This window comes from Homo sapiens, chromosome 4 (genome assembly GCF_000001405.40).
Source record: "Homo sapiens chromosome 4, GRCh38.p14 Primary Assembly".
NCBI lineage: Eukaryota > Metazoa > Chordata > Mammalia > Primates > Hominidae > Homo > Homo sapiens.
In genome coordinates, this window is record NC_000004.12 from 122297338 (window position 1) to 122312599 (window position 15262).

The window sequence follows — 15262 nt, forward strand, 5'->3', positions numbered from 1 at the left end:
TCAAAACCACAATTAGATACTATCTCACACCAGTCAGGATGGCTATTATTAAAAAGTCAAGAAACAACAGATGCTGGCGAAGTTGCAGAGAAAAAGGAATGCTTTCACATTGTTGGTGGGAGCGTAAATTAGTTCAACCATTGTAGAAGACAGTGTTGGGGCAATTCCTAAAAAATCTGGAAGCAAAAATACCATTTTGCCCAGCAATCCCATTACTGGGTATATACCCAAAGGAACATAAATCATTCTATTGTAAAGATACATGCATGCGTATGTTCATTGCAGCACTATTCACAATAGCAAAGACATGGAATCAACCTAAATGCCCATCAATGATAGACTGGATAAAGAAAATGTGGTATATATACACCATGGAATGCTGTGCAGCCACAAAAAGGAATGAGATCATGTCCTTTGCAGGGATATTGATGGAGCTGGAAGCCGTTATCCCCAGCATACTAATGCAGGAACAGAAAAGCAAACACTGCATGTTCTCACTTATCAGTGGGAGCTGAACAATGAGAACACATGAACACAGGGAGGGGAACAACACACACTGGGACCTGTCAGCAGGGACAGCAGGAGGGAGGGCATCAGGAAGAATAGCTAATGGATACTGGGCTTCATACCTAGGTGATGGGTTGATGTGTGCAGCAAACCACCATGGCAGACATTTACCTATGTAACAAATGTGCATATCCTACAGAACTTAAAATAAAAGGTTGAAGAAAAAGAAAAGACAAGAGTAGCCAATATTAGATACATAGATAGATCATAATAGTAGATTCATATTTTCTTCAGATTTGTTTTGATTCTTATTACTTAGATAAAATACTATTTATTATTTAATTGAATAAATAGATAAGACAGCTAACTTTCAAAATCAGAATCATGTAGTTTTTATTTGATCACCTATTGTGTTGTGTTTGTTGTATCTCATGATGATTCCTAAATAACCTGCACCATGCTCTTGCCTATAGAGCCAAGAGAAACTAAGAACTCTCTTAGCTTAATTTCACCCATCCTGTTAGAAAGTGTCAAGATATACATAGAGTCATAAACAATTTTTTGTGGCAGTATTCTAACAAATCCTCAAAATGTAGACATTATTTCATGTAATATTTTCCTCTCTATAACATAACTCATTCTGTATTTCAGAGTAGAAATTGCAACCGTATCTTAGAAAATATAAAAGAAGATTCTATAATCCATTCCATAGTTACTTATTCAGAACTTTAAAAACATATGACCCCAAACTAGGTGATAAGCAAATTACAAAGATATGTGGGTAAAAATTTTACTTACTTCTGTTTGGAACATTAGGTATTTAAACATATAATAATAAAAAGATTTAAATGAATTTTTGATGAATGAAGAAGTTAAGTAGTATAAATAGAGGATGTATTGAGGCATAGGAATGATTCGAACTGATACTTGAGTAAGTTCTACTTTTTGATGATTGAGCGCCTTTCAAGAGAGGGACAGTTTGATGAAAGAAAATAGCAAGAAACTGGGACTGAAAGACACATTTATTTGCTGAGAATGAGATAAGAATTGTGGGAGTATGAGGAAAATTATAAAGACTTGCAGTAATTGTTGTGAGGAGTGTGTTGGAGAAATGACAGAAGATGAAGAGTTGGATCACCAAGCAACACAGGTGCTTTATACTTGCGTTCAGGAAAAGACTGAGGGTCAGCTAAGGTACTGCTTGCTAGGATCCACATATATATGGCCCTTCCCCTTAAGAATTATTTAATTAGGGAAATTGCTGTGTAGATAAATTAATATACAGAAATGTGTATTTTTTGGCAAACATCATGTAGGAAGGAAGGACCAAATGCTGATAAGGGTGTATCAGAAAGAGTTTGAATAAACAAAATGTGATAAAGAACTTAGAAGAGCACTTGGCACTCAGTAAGCACTCAAATATTAGGTATTAGAATTGATAAATATATGCACTCAGTAAGCAAATATTAGGTATTAGAATTTACACATAACTACTTAGGAGTAAAAAATAAATAAGAACAGAATGTAAGTGAGGGGATAAAGTCATTTAAGGAAAGTGAGCTCAAGGAACAGGGATGTGTAAGAGGGCTGTGGTTTGGAATTCAAATGATGAAAAGCAGAGACAGTAGTAGTTTAATGTTTTGGAAATAGCATTGAAAAGTAAGCTAAACACCATCTGCTGCTGGATCAAAGGAATGAATGAATTTGAGATTTCCAAATAATAATGGCAACAAAAAGCCATATGCAAATGAAGTTAGAGAATCAGGGAAATGAAAAGCATAATGTAAGACAGTGGAAGCTTTCCTGGTAGTAGATGGAAGATAGAGACAACAGGGATGGGAAGAGGTAGTTGATAGCTGGGTTGGGGGGGTGATATTATATACACACAAATACACACATACATATATGTATGTATGTATATGGCTGTAGGTAGGGTTATCAATGATGAGGCTTAGGTAAGGGATGATTGTAGATTTGAGTTAGGAGGCAGAGAGAAGTACTTAATTATAAGTTGAAGAAAAGAAAATGTAATCTGTATGCTGTATATTTTAGAGAAGGATAGCTCAGAGAGGAAAGGTACAAGCGTACAGGCAGGCACTAAGTGTACAAAGACACATATAATCTACAAAGACACATATAGTTTATTCTTCCAAAATACAAATATATATTTTTTTATTTTGTTTTTGAGTCAGTCTCTGTCATCCAGGCTGGAATGTAGTGGTGCCATCTCGGCTCACTGCAACTTCTGCCTCCTCCTGGGTTCAAGTGATTCTCCTGCCACAGCCTCTCGAGTAGCTGGGATTACAGGTGCCCACCAGCACACCCAGCTAATTTTTTTTATTTTTAGTAGAGATGGGGTTTCTCCATGTTGGCCAGGCTAGTCCCGAACTCCTGACCTCAGGTCATCCACCCATCTTAGCCTCCCAAAGTGCTGGGATTAAGGCATGAGCCACCGTGCCTGGCCCAAATATATGTTAATTAATATGTTCTGGTATAACCAATCCACAAATCCTTAATACTTTACTTTCCATCTCTTCATCCATATCATTCTTTCATTCCCTTTCTGGTGTATTTATTCATCTTTATGTACAAAGGTCTTTTTTGGGGGGCCAAGTTATGTCCTTGTCTCTCTTTTCTTGGTCTTATCTTGGATGTACCTTCTGTTGACTGTTGCCTCTATTTTCTTCCTATTTTCTGTTCTAGTAGAAAACTAAAAAATATTTTTATCATAGTACTAACTAAATAGATTTTTGACCCCTAAATTTCAAAAGCCCAAAAAAGATTAATTTCTCCTTCAAAACAAACAAAATCTGCTTTTTATCTATTTGGTTCTTAGTTATTTTGATAATATCTGTGGTCCCTAATAGGGGAAGAAAACATTCCATCCCACCTATACAGACTCCCTGGGATGATGATCAACTCAACATATGTACAAAAAGATTAATCATTGTAAGAAAGAATATTTGAAAGATAGGCAGGCAGAATGTTTTCAAATCAATGGAAAGAGAAGTGGAAACAGAAGTAAGATATTAAGATATTAGAACATTATTTTCTGTATGCCACATTGCCCAGGCAAAAAAAAAAAAAAATGCTCTCTTAATAGTAACTTCACCACCAGGGGCTCTGCAACAGAATTCACATTATTAGTTGAAGAAATTAGTCCAGTTTACTTTTTTCCCTCAAATGTGTTTTCTGAGATGTATAAACACATGTTTTGGTTCAATAATATATACAGTGTTTTAATTGAATATAAAATGTTATTAATAAATGTCTACATATGCAGAATTATCCCTATCTTTCATATATCTGTCTCAGTTAAATGTAACTTAGCTAAAGATCTCTGTATCAGTGGTCAGTAAAAAGAAAATATTTTGTGAGGATTTTTTTTTAATGCACAAAATAGTTATTTTTTTTCTTTAAAAAAAAAAATTGTCCCGAACTCTTCTTTCCTTTAGGTGGGGAGCAGCCTATTCCTCTCTGGAACGAACATGATGGAACAGCAGATGGAGATAAACCTAAAATTCTCCTCTATTCCCTAAACTTGCAGTTCAAGGTAACATAAATATAATGATACTTTTATAAAAATTTTTCTAATCAATTAATATATGCTTGTTATAGAAAATTTGTATCTTACATAAATTACCAAACAGAAAATAAAAATGATCTATAACTCCATCTACTCAGAGAAAAAGCTTTAACAATAATTATTTGAATATTCTTTAGGACTTTTTTCCTGTTAGTATTTTTATATATGCATATATTTATACATTTGAAAAATAATTGGATACCTTTCCATATTAGAATATTTAGATTAGTTTTATCTTCTTGAACATCTGTATTGTATGTTGTACAGTTGTAACAATTTATTCAGCCACTCCCTTCTGACGAACATTTTGTTTTTCTTCAAGTACTGCTGTTATAATTTACTCTGCAAGAAATATTTTATGCACTTTTCCAGTTAACTATATTACTTTTAGAAGGCTGATGCAGGAGGATTGCTTGAGCCCAGGAGTTTGAGACTAGCTCTGGCAACATAGCGAGACTTTGTCTCTACAAAAAATTTGAAAAAACAAAAAAATTAGCCAGGTGGGTGGCACACACCTGTAGTCTCAGTTACTTCGGAGGCTAAAGCAGGAGGATTGCTTCAGTCTGGAAGTTCAAGGCTACAGTGAGCTGTGGTTGTGCCACTGCATTTGAGCCTGGGCAACAGAGTGAGACCTGTCTTAAAAAACAAACAAAGACTATATTATTTTAATAGAAAACTTAATATTTCCAATATTTAAGATACTGGTGTTCATAAAAGTTATTTAATTGTATTTAATGTATTCAATCCATTGAATACTAAATTTTAAATATAAAATATCAAAATGAAACATAATGGGAAAAAATTGCTACTAACACGAGAAATTAACGTTGCCAGTTTTATCAGTTCATTAGACATATCCTATACAGGCATACCTTGTTTTATTGCACTTCGCTTTATTGTGTTTCACAGGTATTGAGGTTTTTTTATGAATTGAAGGTGCCATTTTTCCAATAGCATATATTCACTTTCTGTGTGTCATATTTTACTAATTCTCACAATATTTCAAACTTTTTCATTAGTATTATATGTCTGTTATAATGCTCTGTGATCAGAAATCTTTGATGTTGCTGCGGGAATTGTTTAGGGGCGCCAGGAGCTGCACCAATGTAGGATAGCAAACTAAATCGTTAAATGTTGTTGCACATCTCTCACTTTCAATCAAAAGCTAGAAACGATTAAGCTTGGTGAGGAAGATATGTCAAAAGCCAAGACAGGCTGAAAGCTAGGTCTCTTGCGCCAGTTAGCCAAGTTGTGAATGCAAAGGTGAAGTTCTTAAACGAAATTAAAAGTGCTACTCCAGTGAACACAGGAATGATAAGAAAGCCAAACAGCCTTATTGCAGATATGGAGAAAGTTTGAATGGTGTGGATAGACCAGCCACAACATTCCCCTAAGCTAAAGCCTAATCCAGAGCAATGCCCTAATTTTCTTCAATTCTATGAAGGCTGGGAGAGGTGAGGAAGCTGCAAAAGAAAACTTGGAAGCTAGCAGAGATTGGTTCATAATGTTTAAGGAAAGAACCTGTCTTCATAACATAAAAGTGCAAACTGAGGATCAAGCTAGAATAATTGATGAAGGTGGTTACGCTAAACGACAGATTTTTCCATGTAGCCTTCTATGGGAAAAAGATGCTAGCTAGGACTTTCACAGCTAGAGAGAAATCAATGCCTGGCTTCAAAGGACAGGCTGACTCTTGTTAGGGTCAAATGCAGCTGGTGACTTTAAGTGGAAGCCAGTGCTCATTTACCATTCTGAAAATCCTAGGGCCTTTAAGAATTACGCTAAATCTCTGCCTATGCTCTATCAGTGGAACAACAAAGTCTTGATGACAGCACATCTTTTTACAACATGGTTCACTGAATATTTTAAGCCCGCTATGGGTCTACTGCTCAGAACAAAGAGTCCTTTAAAAATATTACTGCTCACTGACAATGCACCTGGTCACCTAAGAGCTCTGGTGAAAATTTACAAGGAAATTAACGTTTTTATGCCTAACACATTTCTTCTGCAGCTCATGAATTGAGTAATTTCAACTTTCAAGTGTATGATTTAAGAAATACATTTTGTAAGGCTACAGTTTTCATAGATAGTGATTCCTCAGATGGATCTGGGCAAAGTAAATTGAAAACCTTCTGGAAGAGAGAACACTTTGATTCATGAGAGGAGGTGCTAATATCAACATTACTAGGACTTTGGAAGAAGTCGGTTCCAACTCTCATGGATTACTTTGAGGGACTCAAGACACTTCAGTAGAGGAAGTAAATGCAGACAGGGTGGAAATAGCAAGGGAACTAGAATTAAATGTGGAGCGTGAAGATGGGACTGAATTGCTGCAATCTTATGATAAAACTTGAATGGGTGAAGAGTTCCTTCTTATGAATGAGCAAAGAAATTCTATCTTCAGATAGAATCTACTCCTGGTGAAGATGCTGTAAACACTGTTGAAATGACAAAGGATTTAGAATGTTCCATAAACTTAGTTGATGAAGCAGTGGCAAGGTATGGAAAGGATTGACTGTAACTTTGGAAGAGGTTCTGCTGTGGGTAAAATGCTATCAAACAGCATCATATGCTACAGAGAAGTCTTTCATGAAAGGAAGAGTCAATCAGTGACACAAACCTCATTGTCATTTTATTTGAAGAAACTGCCACAGTCACCCCAGACTTCAACAACCACTACCATGATCAGTCAGCAGCCATCAACATCAAGGCAAGACCCTCCACTAGCAAAAAGATTACAACCCACTAAAAGCTCAGATGATTGTTGGCATTTTTTAGCAATAAAGTTTTGTTTTGTTTTTGAGACAGAGTCTTGCTCTGTCTCAGGCTGGAGTGCAGTTGCATGATCTCGGCTCACTGCAACCTCCGACTCCCTGGTTCAAGCTATTCTCCTGCCTCAGCCTACTGAGTAGCTGGGATTACAGGCACACACCACCATGCCCATCTAATTTTGTATTTTTAGTAGAGATAGGGTTTCACCATGTTGGCCAGGGTGGTCTCGACCTCATGACCTCAAGTGATCTGCCTGCCTCAGCCTCCCAATGTGGTGAGATTACAGGCGTGAGCCACCACGCCCAGCCAAAGTATTTTTTAAATTAAGGCATGTACAATGTTTTTTAGACATAATGGTATTACACATTTAATGGACTGTAGTATAACCTTTTATATGCACTGGAAAACAAAAAAATTTGTGTGACCCACTTTATTACAATGGTCTGGAACCAAACCCATATTATCTCCAAGGTATGCCTGTTCATGGTTTAAAACACGACTATTTTATTTATCATATACTGAAAGACTACATTTGAGTAGGTATATGTTGTTGATTTAAGATTCATTTTTTTCCTCCTAACATATAATCTGCTAGGGTATTCAAGTAACGGCCACTACTCCATCAATGAGAGCTGTAAGATTTGAAACTGGATTGATTGAACTGGAACTTTCTAACCGACTTCAAACCAAAGCTTCACCAGGAAGTAGCAGCTATCTGAAACTGTTTGGCAAATGCCAGGTGGATTTAAATCTGGCATTAGGACAAATTGTCAAACATCAGGTGAGTACAGAATATGTTGATGTTAGAACGATGGCTTTTAAATTTTGCACATCAATTTTAACTACTGTAACTTATGTATTATTATATTTACAAAAATATTTAGTTTAATTTCCTAAAGTTTCTGATTATAAATTCAGTGAAAACTCATTTACCTTGGCATTTCATTGAAAATTGTAGCCGCATATTGTTATAGTTTAGTGCAGATGCACTCACATAAAACTTAATCCAGTATCTTCGTAATCATTTGCTTGTAATTTTTTTTATTTTGCTAAACATTTTTTATTTCAAAGTCTTGTGCTAACATTACTCAGTTCTTAAAATGTTAAGTGTATACCTTTCCTGTAGAATATTAGCAAGTTCTGCATATAGTAATGTTAAATAAAGTTAAAAAACAGCAGTTAGATTCTCTATTTTATAAAAATGAATGTTCACAGCTTATTGGAGATTTTTTTTGTTTTTATTTTGCCAAAAATTATTATGTAGATTTTAATCTTTTTTCCTCTTTGAAGAACCAAGTAGAAAAATGCCAGTCACAGTTTCAAAACTGAATCGCTGCATTAAAGATACGAGGAAAAAATGAACAAAAATTTCTTGTCATCTCTTAGAGGTTCTAATTATTCTGAAATATTTAATACATTGCCATTTAGAATATGGACCTCATCCTAACTTTTATATAAAGTTTATCTATGACTTCATATTTACTTCTTGCATGGCTATTTTGTATATTAATTTCAAGTGTTTATGGTACAGAGTATAAGGAATATACATTAACAGCTGAATTTGAGAAAAATGTATTATAGTTTTTTTGGTGAACAATACCATTAATAATGTTTAGTTTCATATTAAAACTTTTTCCATTATTTTATTTTATTGAGCTTTAAATTTTATTTTAGGTTTATGAGGAAGCTGGTTCTGATTTTCATCAAGTTGCCTATTTTAAAACCAGAATTGGATTAAGAAATGCCCTCCGAGAAGAAATCAGTGGTTCTTCAGATAGGGAAGCTGTGCTTATTACTTTGAATAGACCAATTGTTTATGCACAGCCTGTGGCCTTTGATAGAGGTAAGATAAAGTCAATCACTACTATCCTCTGGGATCTAGGAATGCTTTGTTAATGCTAGATAAGAATCTTGTAGTTTACTGGTGTAAATGCTTGACAGCTAAATGGTTCCTAAATCTGAAATGTGTGTATCCAAAAAAAAAATCTTGCTTTTTGCCTTCAGTTTTTAAAAGTTATTTTACATTTTAAAGTTATTTTGTCTTCTGGCTGGATAACATAAGAGTGTCTGCTTCAGATTATGTAATTGTAATGCTGATTTTTTTTGTTTTGATAATTAATGCACCCATTTGTGTTTTGGCACTGTGTTTATTTTTATATTCTATAAACATTTATCAGGTACTGCCTAGAAGTGGAATACAAAAATAAACAACAGTATCCCTGCCCTCAAGGACCTGTCAGTCCAGTGGAAAAGAAAACAAAGTAGACTACACAGTGGAGTCAGAGATGTGTTCTTGGTTCTGAGGAATTCTCTACCTTTGCCTATGCTTCTTAGAGGAGAAACTAATTCTTGATTTGACTTTGAATTAGGAGTTCACCAGGGAGATAAGGAAATGAAATTTACTTTTATATCCCAGGGCCTAGAACAGTCCCTGGCATACAATAAGAACGAAATAAACATTGAGTAAGAGAGAATAAGAATGAATGTGTTTAAACACATAAGTCTAAGAAAATATAGCAGTAGGTTTCATAGAAGAAAATAATGGGAAAGAAGGCTGAACAGGTAGACAAGGTCTAATTAATGTGGATTGGGCAAATATATTTGAACTGTATTTTAGAAGTAATGAGGAGCCATTTAAGAAGCCATTTAAGATCTTCATCAGTGATGGACATAGGCTAGTAACAGAATCCTGTTAGAAAATTGCCCTTTTGGCAGTGTTACAGATAGCATTTTATTTTGCTGAATCCCATGTACATGTTTTTCAGTTCTCATTTTACTGACCTCTCATCAGCTTTCATCAGCTTCTTAAAGTATTTTGTACCCTTGGTGTCCTTGACACAAAACAGGTTGAGTACTGGTTTTCCAAAGTAATTGGGACAGGAAGTGTTTCAGATTTTGGATTTTTTCAGATTTTGGTATATTTGTGTATACATAATGAGATATCTTGGGGCTGGGACCCAAGTTTAAACATGAAATTTATTTATGTTTCATATACACCATATACACATAGCCTGAAGATAATTTTATAAAATATTTTAAATAATTTTGTGCATGAAACAAAGTTTTGACAGCATTTTGGCTGCAGTCTCACATGAGTTCAGATGTGGAATTTTCCACTTGTAGCATCATATCAACATTCAGAAAGTTTTGGGATTTTGGATTTCGGATTAGGGATGCTCAACCTGCATTTGCTTTTCCTCCTACTTCTCTGGCCTCTCCATCTTTATGTCCTTTTTAGAGGCCCCTCCATCTATACACTGCTGTGAAATGAAGGTTTTCCTTAAGGTTTGTTTCTGTTTAACAAACTCAAACATCTTTGACTTTTCTCTGTAAATCAGATCCTTTTAATGGTATGTTCCTAGCATTATGTACCTTAAAGAATTTTAAAAGAAGTAACAGCTCTACAGATGAAGTTAAGCACCATGTCTGTTTTCATTTGTTATTCCATCCCAGTATCTAACATATAATAGGCATTTCACAAATAAGTTAGAGGGAATGAACAGACCTGGATTTTCTTCTTCCTTGTGCCATTATGTGGTTGCCTGCTTTCTGTTTTATTTTTTCATTTGTTATTTAAAAAATGGTGACTATATGTCCTCTTAGATCTTTCCTAATTCTAATGCTACAGTTTTCTGGGTGTAATTTTTATTAAGCAACAGGATTTTGCAGCTTTTGAGTTTTACTTAACATATAGATTTACAGTGTTGATTTTAATTTTCTTTCTGCCCTGTCTTAATTATCAAAAGCTGTGCTGTTTTGGCTGAATTATAAGGCCGCCTATGACAACTGGAATGAACAACGAATGGCTTTACATAAGGATATTCATATGGCTACAAAGGAAGTAGTAGATATGCTACCTGGTATCCAGCAAACATCAGCCCAGGCCTTTGGGACTCTTTTTCTCCAGCTCACTGTCAATGATCTGGGAATTTGCCTACCTATCACAAATACTGCACAGGTACAAAAAGTCAAGTCATATTCCAGGATTAAGAGCCAGGCATTTCTACATAACCATTTCTAAGTATTTAGAATATAACAGTACATTTTTCAGTGTAACAGTTTATAACTGTTTAGTAGGTAGCAAGTAAGATTGAATTCCTTCAACCATTACTCATCTCAATGTATTAAATCTTAATCTCATGGGACTTTTCTCTGAAGCACTCTTATATGCTTCAGAATAGTGATAAGATTGATACCCCCCAGATAACTCTTAATTTTTACCTTCATAAAAAGAAGCTTAGTTTCAGAATCATTTTATTGTTTTCTTTTTTAACAAGGAAGTCATTGGTATGGACTTGTTTATAAGATGGAAATAAAAGGACATTTAAGAATACTGTTTAATGAACTTAACCTGTAATAGAATAGGGAATTCCAAAATGCTTTTATACTGTAATATTTAATGGTAATGAAACTTCAAAGCAGTGTGCACATAAACCAGGAATTTTCTCTTTGCAACTTAAGACCAATTTTCAGGAATATGTAACTGCATGCACATGTGTGTATGAGAGAGAGAAAAGGCTATGAACACCTGTCAGGCCAAGAAGCAACAGTTATTAACAATAGCATATAGAGATCTATATTTTACTGTTACAATTTACCTTAATAACTTGTAACCAGTTGTTGAATTAATTTATCTTTTAGGATTCTGTTCGGTAAGACAGTGTTAAGAAAAACTTCAGGTTGAGGATGGGTGGCATTGGTATGTTTGTGTTTCAGGAACTGAAATATAGTAGTTTTTTAATAGCATAATGGGCACTGCCTAGGAAGGCCATAAACACCACAGGTGGGTGGCATAGTGAGATCATCTCCCCACAACTAAAAGAGAGGCTTGAGATAGAAATGTAGATAGCCCTTTGTATGTTAAGTAAGAAAAAAAATGCACATGGCAAGTACATTGCACTTAAGCAATTTAATTTTTAAAAGGCATCTTTCTAAGCTGCTCTTTAATGAACATATCTAGGCTTGACCGTTTCTAGATTTCTATTCCTATGAATCCTGTGAGGATTTCTAAGTTTAAAAAATTGTCACCTTTTGTCTTATTTCTTCTTTAATATATTTTGCAGTCTAATCATACTGGAGACCTTGACACTGGTTCTGCTTTGGTATTAACCATTGAAAGTACTCTCATCACTGCATGCTCTTCAGAGTCTCTGGTTAGCAAAGGGCATTTCAAAAACTTTTGTATCCGTTTTGCTGATGGATTTGAGACATCATGGGATGACTGGAAACCAGAAATTCATGGGGATTTAGTGATGAATGCCTGTGAGTATCTTTTATTTCTATATACAGTTTAGAACTTAAAAAATAAAACATTAAGTCTCCATTTGTGAAATTAAAAGATGCTTAGATATAGCAAATGTTTTTAGACTTTGAGAAAGAAGGGCTATTTCTAGTTACAGGTAACAAACCATATTCGTGAAAAACTACAGCATTGAGTAGTTTTGGTAAGTAAACCAACCAGGCATTCTTTTTGGTACTATAACATTTGAATGTTTACACAGTCCCTGATTTTTCCTGTAATTGATCCATGTTTGACCAGATAAAGCATTTTTGACCTGTCGGAATCTTGAAAAAAAATGATAAATGTGCAATATCCAACTCACCATAAAACACAGAACAGGTTGTAAATAGCCAGGACCAGGAACGCCAGCCTTAATTAATATTGACGTGAATAAATCCACATGTTCAAATTTGTAGGAGTGCAGAGTGTAACATGAATTCCTGCAATTCCATAATATTCAAGGTTGGGTATAACTAAAGCTGTGTTTATAGGCCGTATTGAAGATACGGAATTTATTTGTATATATTTTTATATTTTAAATATTATAGCAGAGTTGGTAAAGCATCATTAATCTTAATAATAAAGAAAAATTATAAATAAGGAGTTAAAAGGTTATGAACTAAAATTCCTCAATCTTGTAAACTAAATTACTTACTTTTTAGAAAGCGGTAGCCCATTGTTTATGTAATTTTTTCCTCTCTCCACTAGAGGGAAATCTTTCTACTTCCCATTTTCTTTGAGGAATGAGAAAATTTCTATTATTTTTACAAAAATTGAAGTTTTAGCATTCAAAATGAAAAAGTCTTGGTTTTAATGTGTAGGGAAGGAAAAATATCTTTTCCTACTACCCTTTTAGGCTATTTGCTGGGGGGCTTGTGTAATAAAAGACCAATTAATGAGAGAAAAGCATACAGGTTTATTTAATATGAGGTTTTTTTGTGACATGGAGCCTTCATAAGGAAATGAAGATCCAAAGAAATGGTTAAACCTGAGTATTTTTATGCTAGGTTTGATGAAGAGTAGAGAGTTGTAGAGCAATGTGAGAAAATAAAAAGGGGTATGAGTTAAGCGTAGTAAACTGGGGGAAACTAACCAAGGTCTGTTTGTTCAGATTCATCTCAGTGTCCCTCCACTTTGGAGATGAGGATGCTCCTTTCCTCTGGGTATAGGAAGGGCATCTCTCACATGTGGTTCATATGACCTACTTCAGAAGAAAGTCAAAGTCCTTCCTGCATCTGCTGCTTCTCAAATTGCTTCAGTTTAAAATACCTTCCATATGACAAGGTGCCATTTTAGAAGGCAGTGTGTACTAAACCCCATCAAATACTTTGCATTTAGATAATTATAGGTAAAATACCAGTACTTATTTGAAATACTTCAGGTTACTGAGAAGACTTGATATGGAAATACTCATGCCTATTATCCAAAAGACCAGTATCAGCCTACAACAGAAATCTTTATAGATTTATTATTTTACACAATAGTTATACATGGCTTTTTAAAAATCACTAAAACATATCTTTTGTTTTTTTAATAAAAGACAAAAATAAATTTAAACTTAGTGATTTTTATTAAGGTGACAGCTTTACCATCATTGTATTTATTAAAATAAGTAGAATATATTTGGAAAAAAAGGAAGTAAACCATTTCCTTAACAGTTTATCTTAAAGGGCAAATGCATAAGATATAAAATGAGAAATACGCTCTGACTCAGAATCAGAAACATGCATTAAAAAATGAACAAATAATTTAGCACCTCAGTATATATTCTGTTAATACAGAACACTAACATGCTGGTAATCATGATACTCAGAATAATTTATTTTGGGTTTTAGAGGGGACTAACTGACATGCTTCTGTAACATGCTTATTGTTTGGGTTTCTTGGGAGGGGGCCAGAAGGAGATAAGCAGAGTAGTTATGTAACTGACATATTTATAAAACTTCCAAATGATAAAATGGACAAATTAGTTTACTAGCTTATAGTTTTTATTAGTAATAAGTATACCTCAATATTTTTGAACAAAGGTGATGTGTATAGGGCAGAGAAATAAGGAATGTTAGGATTATGCCTTAGAATTTTTTTAACAGGTCATTTTTAAAACATACTCTAAAAAAAAAGTGACCCAGTAAAATTTCTTCTCTAGGTGATAATGTTTATTGAGAAATGCATTAGAAATTAACAAGGACAGTCTATAGGAAGAGTTCAAAGAACGATTTAAGTAGATAGTAAATATTAGGACAATATCATGAATGTGTATTCAGACAAAATAAACCATCAGAAGTTTAGATGTCTGCAAGCTCTCTGTAAAACCTAGGTAGCCTTTGGTCATCAGAGCAGAAAAATTACCATCCTGCATTCAGCCTAATGGTTGCTCCAAGTCATCATTCTGTCTGTGATACAGAAACCACAGGTATTATGGGGAAGAGACTAGTTGATTTCTTAGTCCTCATTTTCAGGATTCAGATCTACATCTAAAAATCGTAATATTCCTTATTAATTCATCGTGGCTCTATATTCTATGAGTTTATATATTCATCTTTTAAGCTTAATGTTTTTGTTGCTTTTTAGAGACAGAATCTTGCTCTGTTACCTAGGCTGGAGTGCAGTGGTGCCATCATAGCTCACTGCAGCCTTGAACTACTGAGCTCAAGCAATCCTCCCGCCTCAGCCCCCCAAGTAGCTGGGACCACAGGCACATGCCGCCATACCTGGCTAATTTTTAAATTTCCTGTATAGATGGAGTCTCACTATGTTGCCCAGGCTGGTCATGAACTCCTAGCCTCAAGTGATCTTGTGGCTTTGACCTCCCAAAGCACTGGGATTATAGGTGTGAGCCACCACACCTAGCCTTTAAGCTTAATTTTTAAAAATTCTCTACTACTCCTTGGGATAGGAAATCCTAAAAGTTTTCTTCTCCCTTTTTATTTACTAATTCTTCCTTTCACTTGGCCTCAGTTATGTTATTCAGATTTCAAAGGGTTTTCTTTTCATTCTAGCATTCTTGGATTTGAAAGGGTAATGTGGGTCTTATTGTTCAGATTTGTAACCATGACTACAAAGGTGAATTGGGTGATACTCCAAAATCAAATCTAGTTATTTCTTAATTAGAATTT

General features: G+C 34.6%; 1 protein-coding gene across 43 annotated transcripts in view, besides 1 other annotated feature; it reads left to right on the top strand.

The window, feature by feature from the left end:
- The window catches only part of BLTP1 (bridge-like lipid transfer protein family member 1), a 210422-nt gene that overhangs the window by 145007 nt on the left and 50153 nt on the right, over window positions 1–15262 (top strand). For all 43 annotated transcript variants that reach the window (XR_938783.2, XM_047416253.1, XM_047416259.1 and 40 more), the window contains 5 exons: window positions 3963–4060; window positions 7461–7646; window positions 8540–8708; window positions 10612–10823; window positions 11929–12127. Coding sequence is in view for 42 of the 43 variants with exons in the window: in XM_047416253.1 (XP_047272209.1) it covers window positions 3963–4060; window positions 7461–7646; window positions 8540–8708; window positions 10612–10823; window positions 11929–12127 (864 nt within the window). In the remaining variant the exon portion in view is untranslated. The remainder of the gene's footprint in view (window positions 1–3962; window positions 4061–7460; window positions 7647–8539; window positions 8709–10611; window positions 10824–11928; window positions 12128–15262) is intronic.
- Window positions 8444–8974: an enhancer, noted in NCBI's record as "NANOG hESC enhancer chr4:123226936-123227466 (GRCh37/hg19 assembly coordinates)". NCBI's record gives its function as "activates a minimal SCP1, AML or CMV promoter by ChIP-STARR-seq in naive H9 embryonic stem cells {active_cell/tissue: H9 hESC(naive)}" and the evidence as "EXISTENCE:reporter gene assay evidence [ECO:0000049][PMID:30033119]".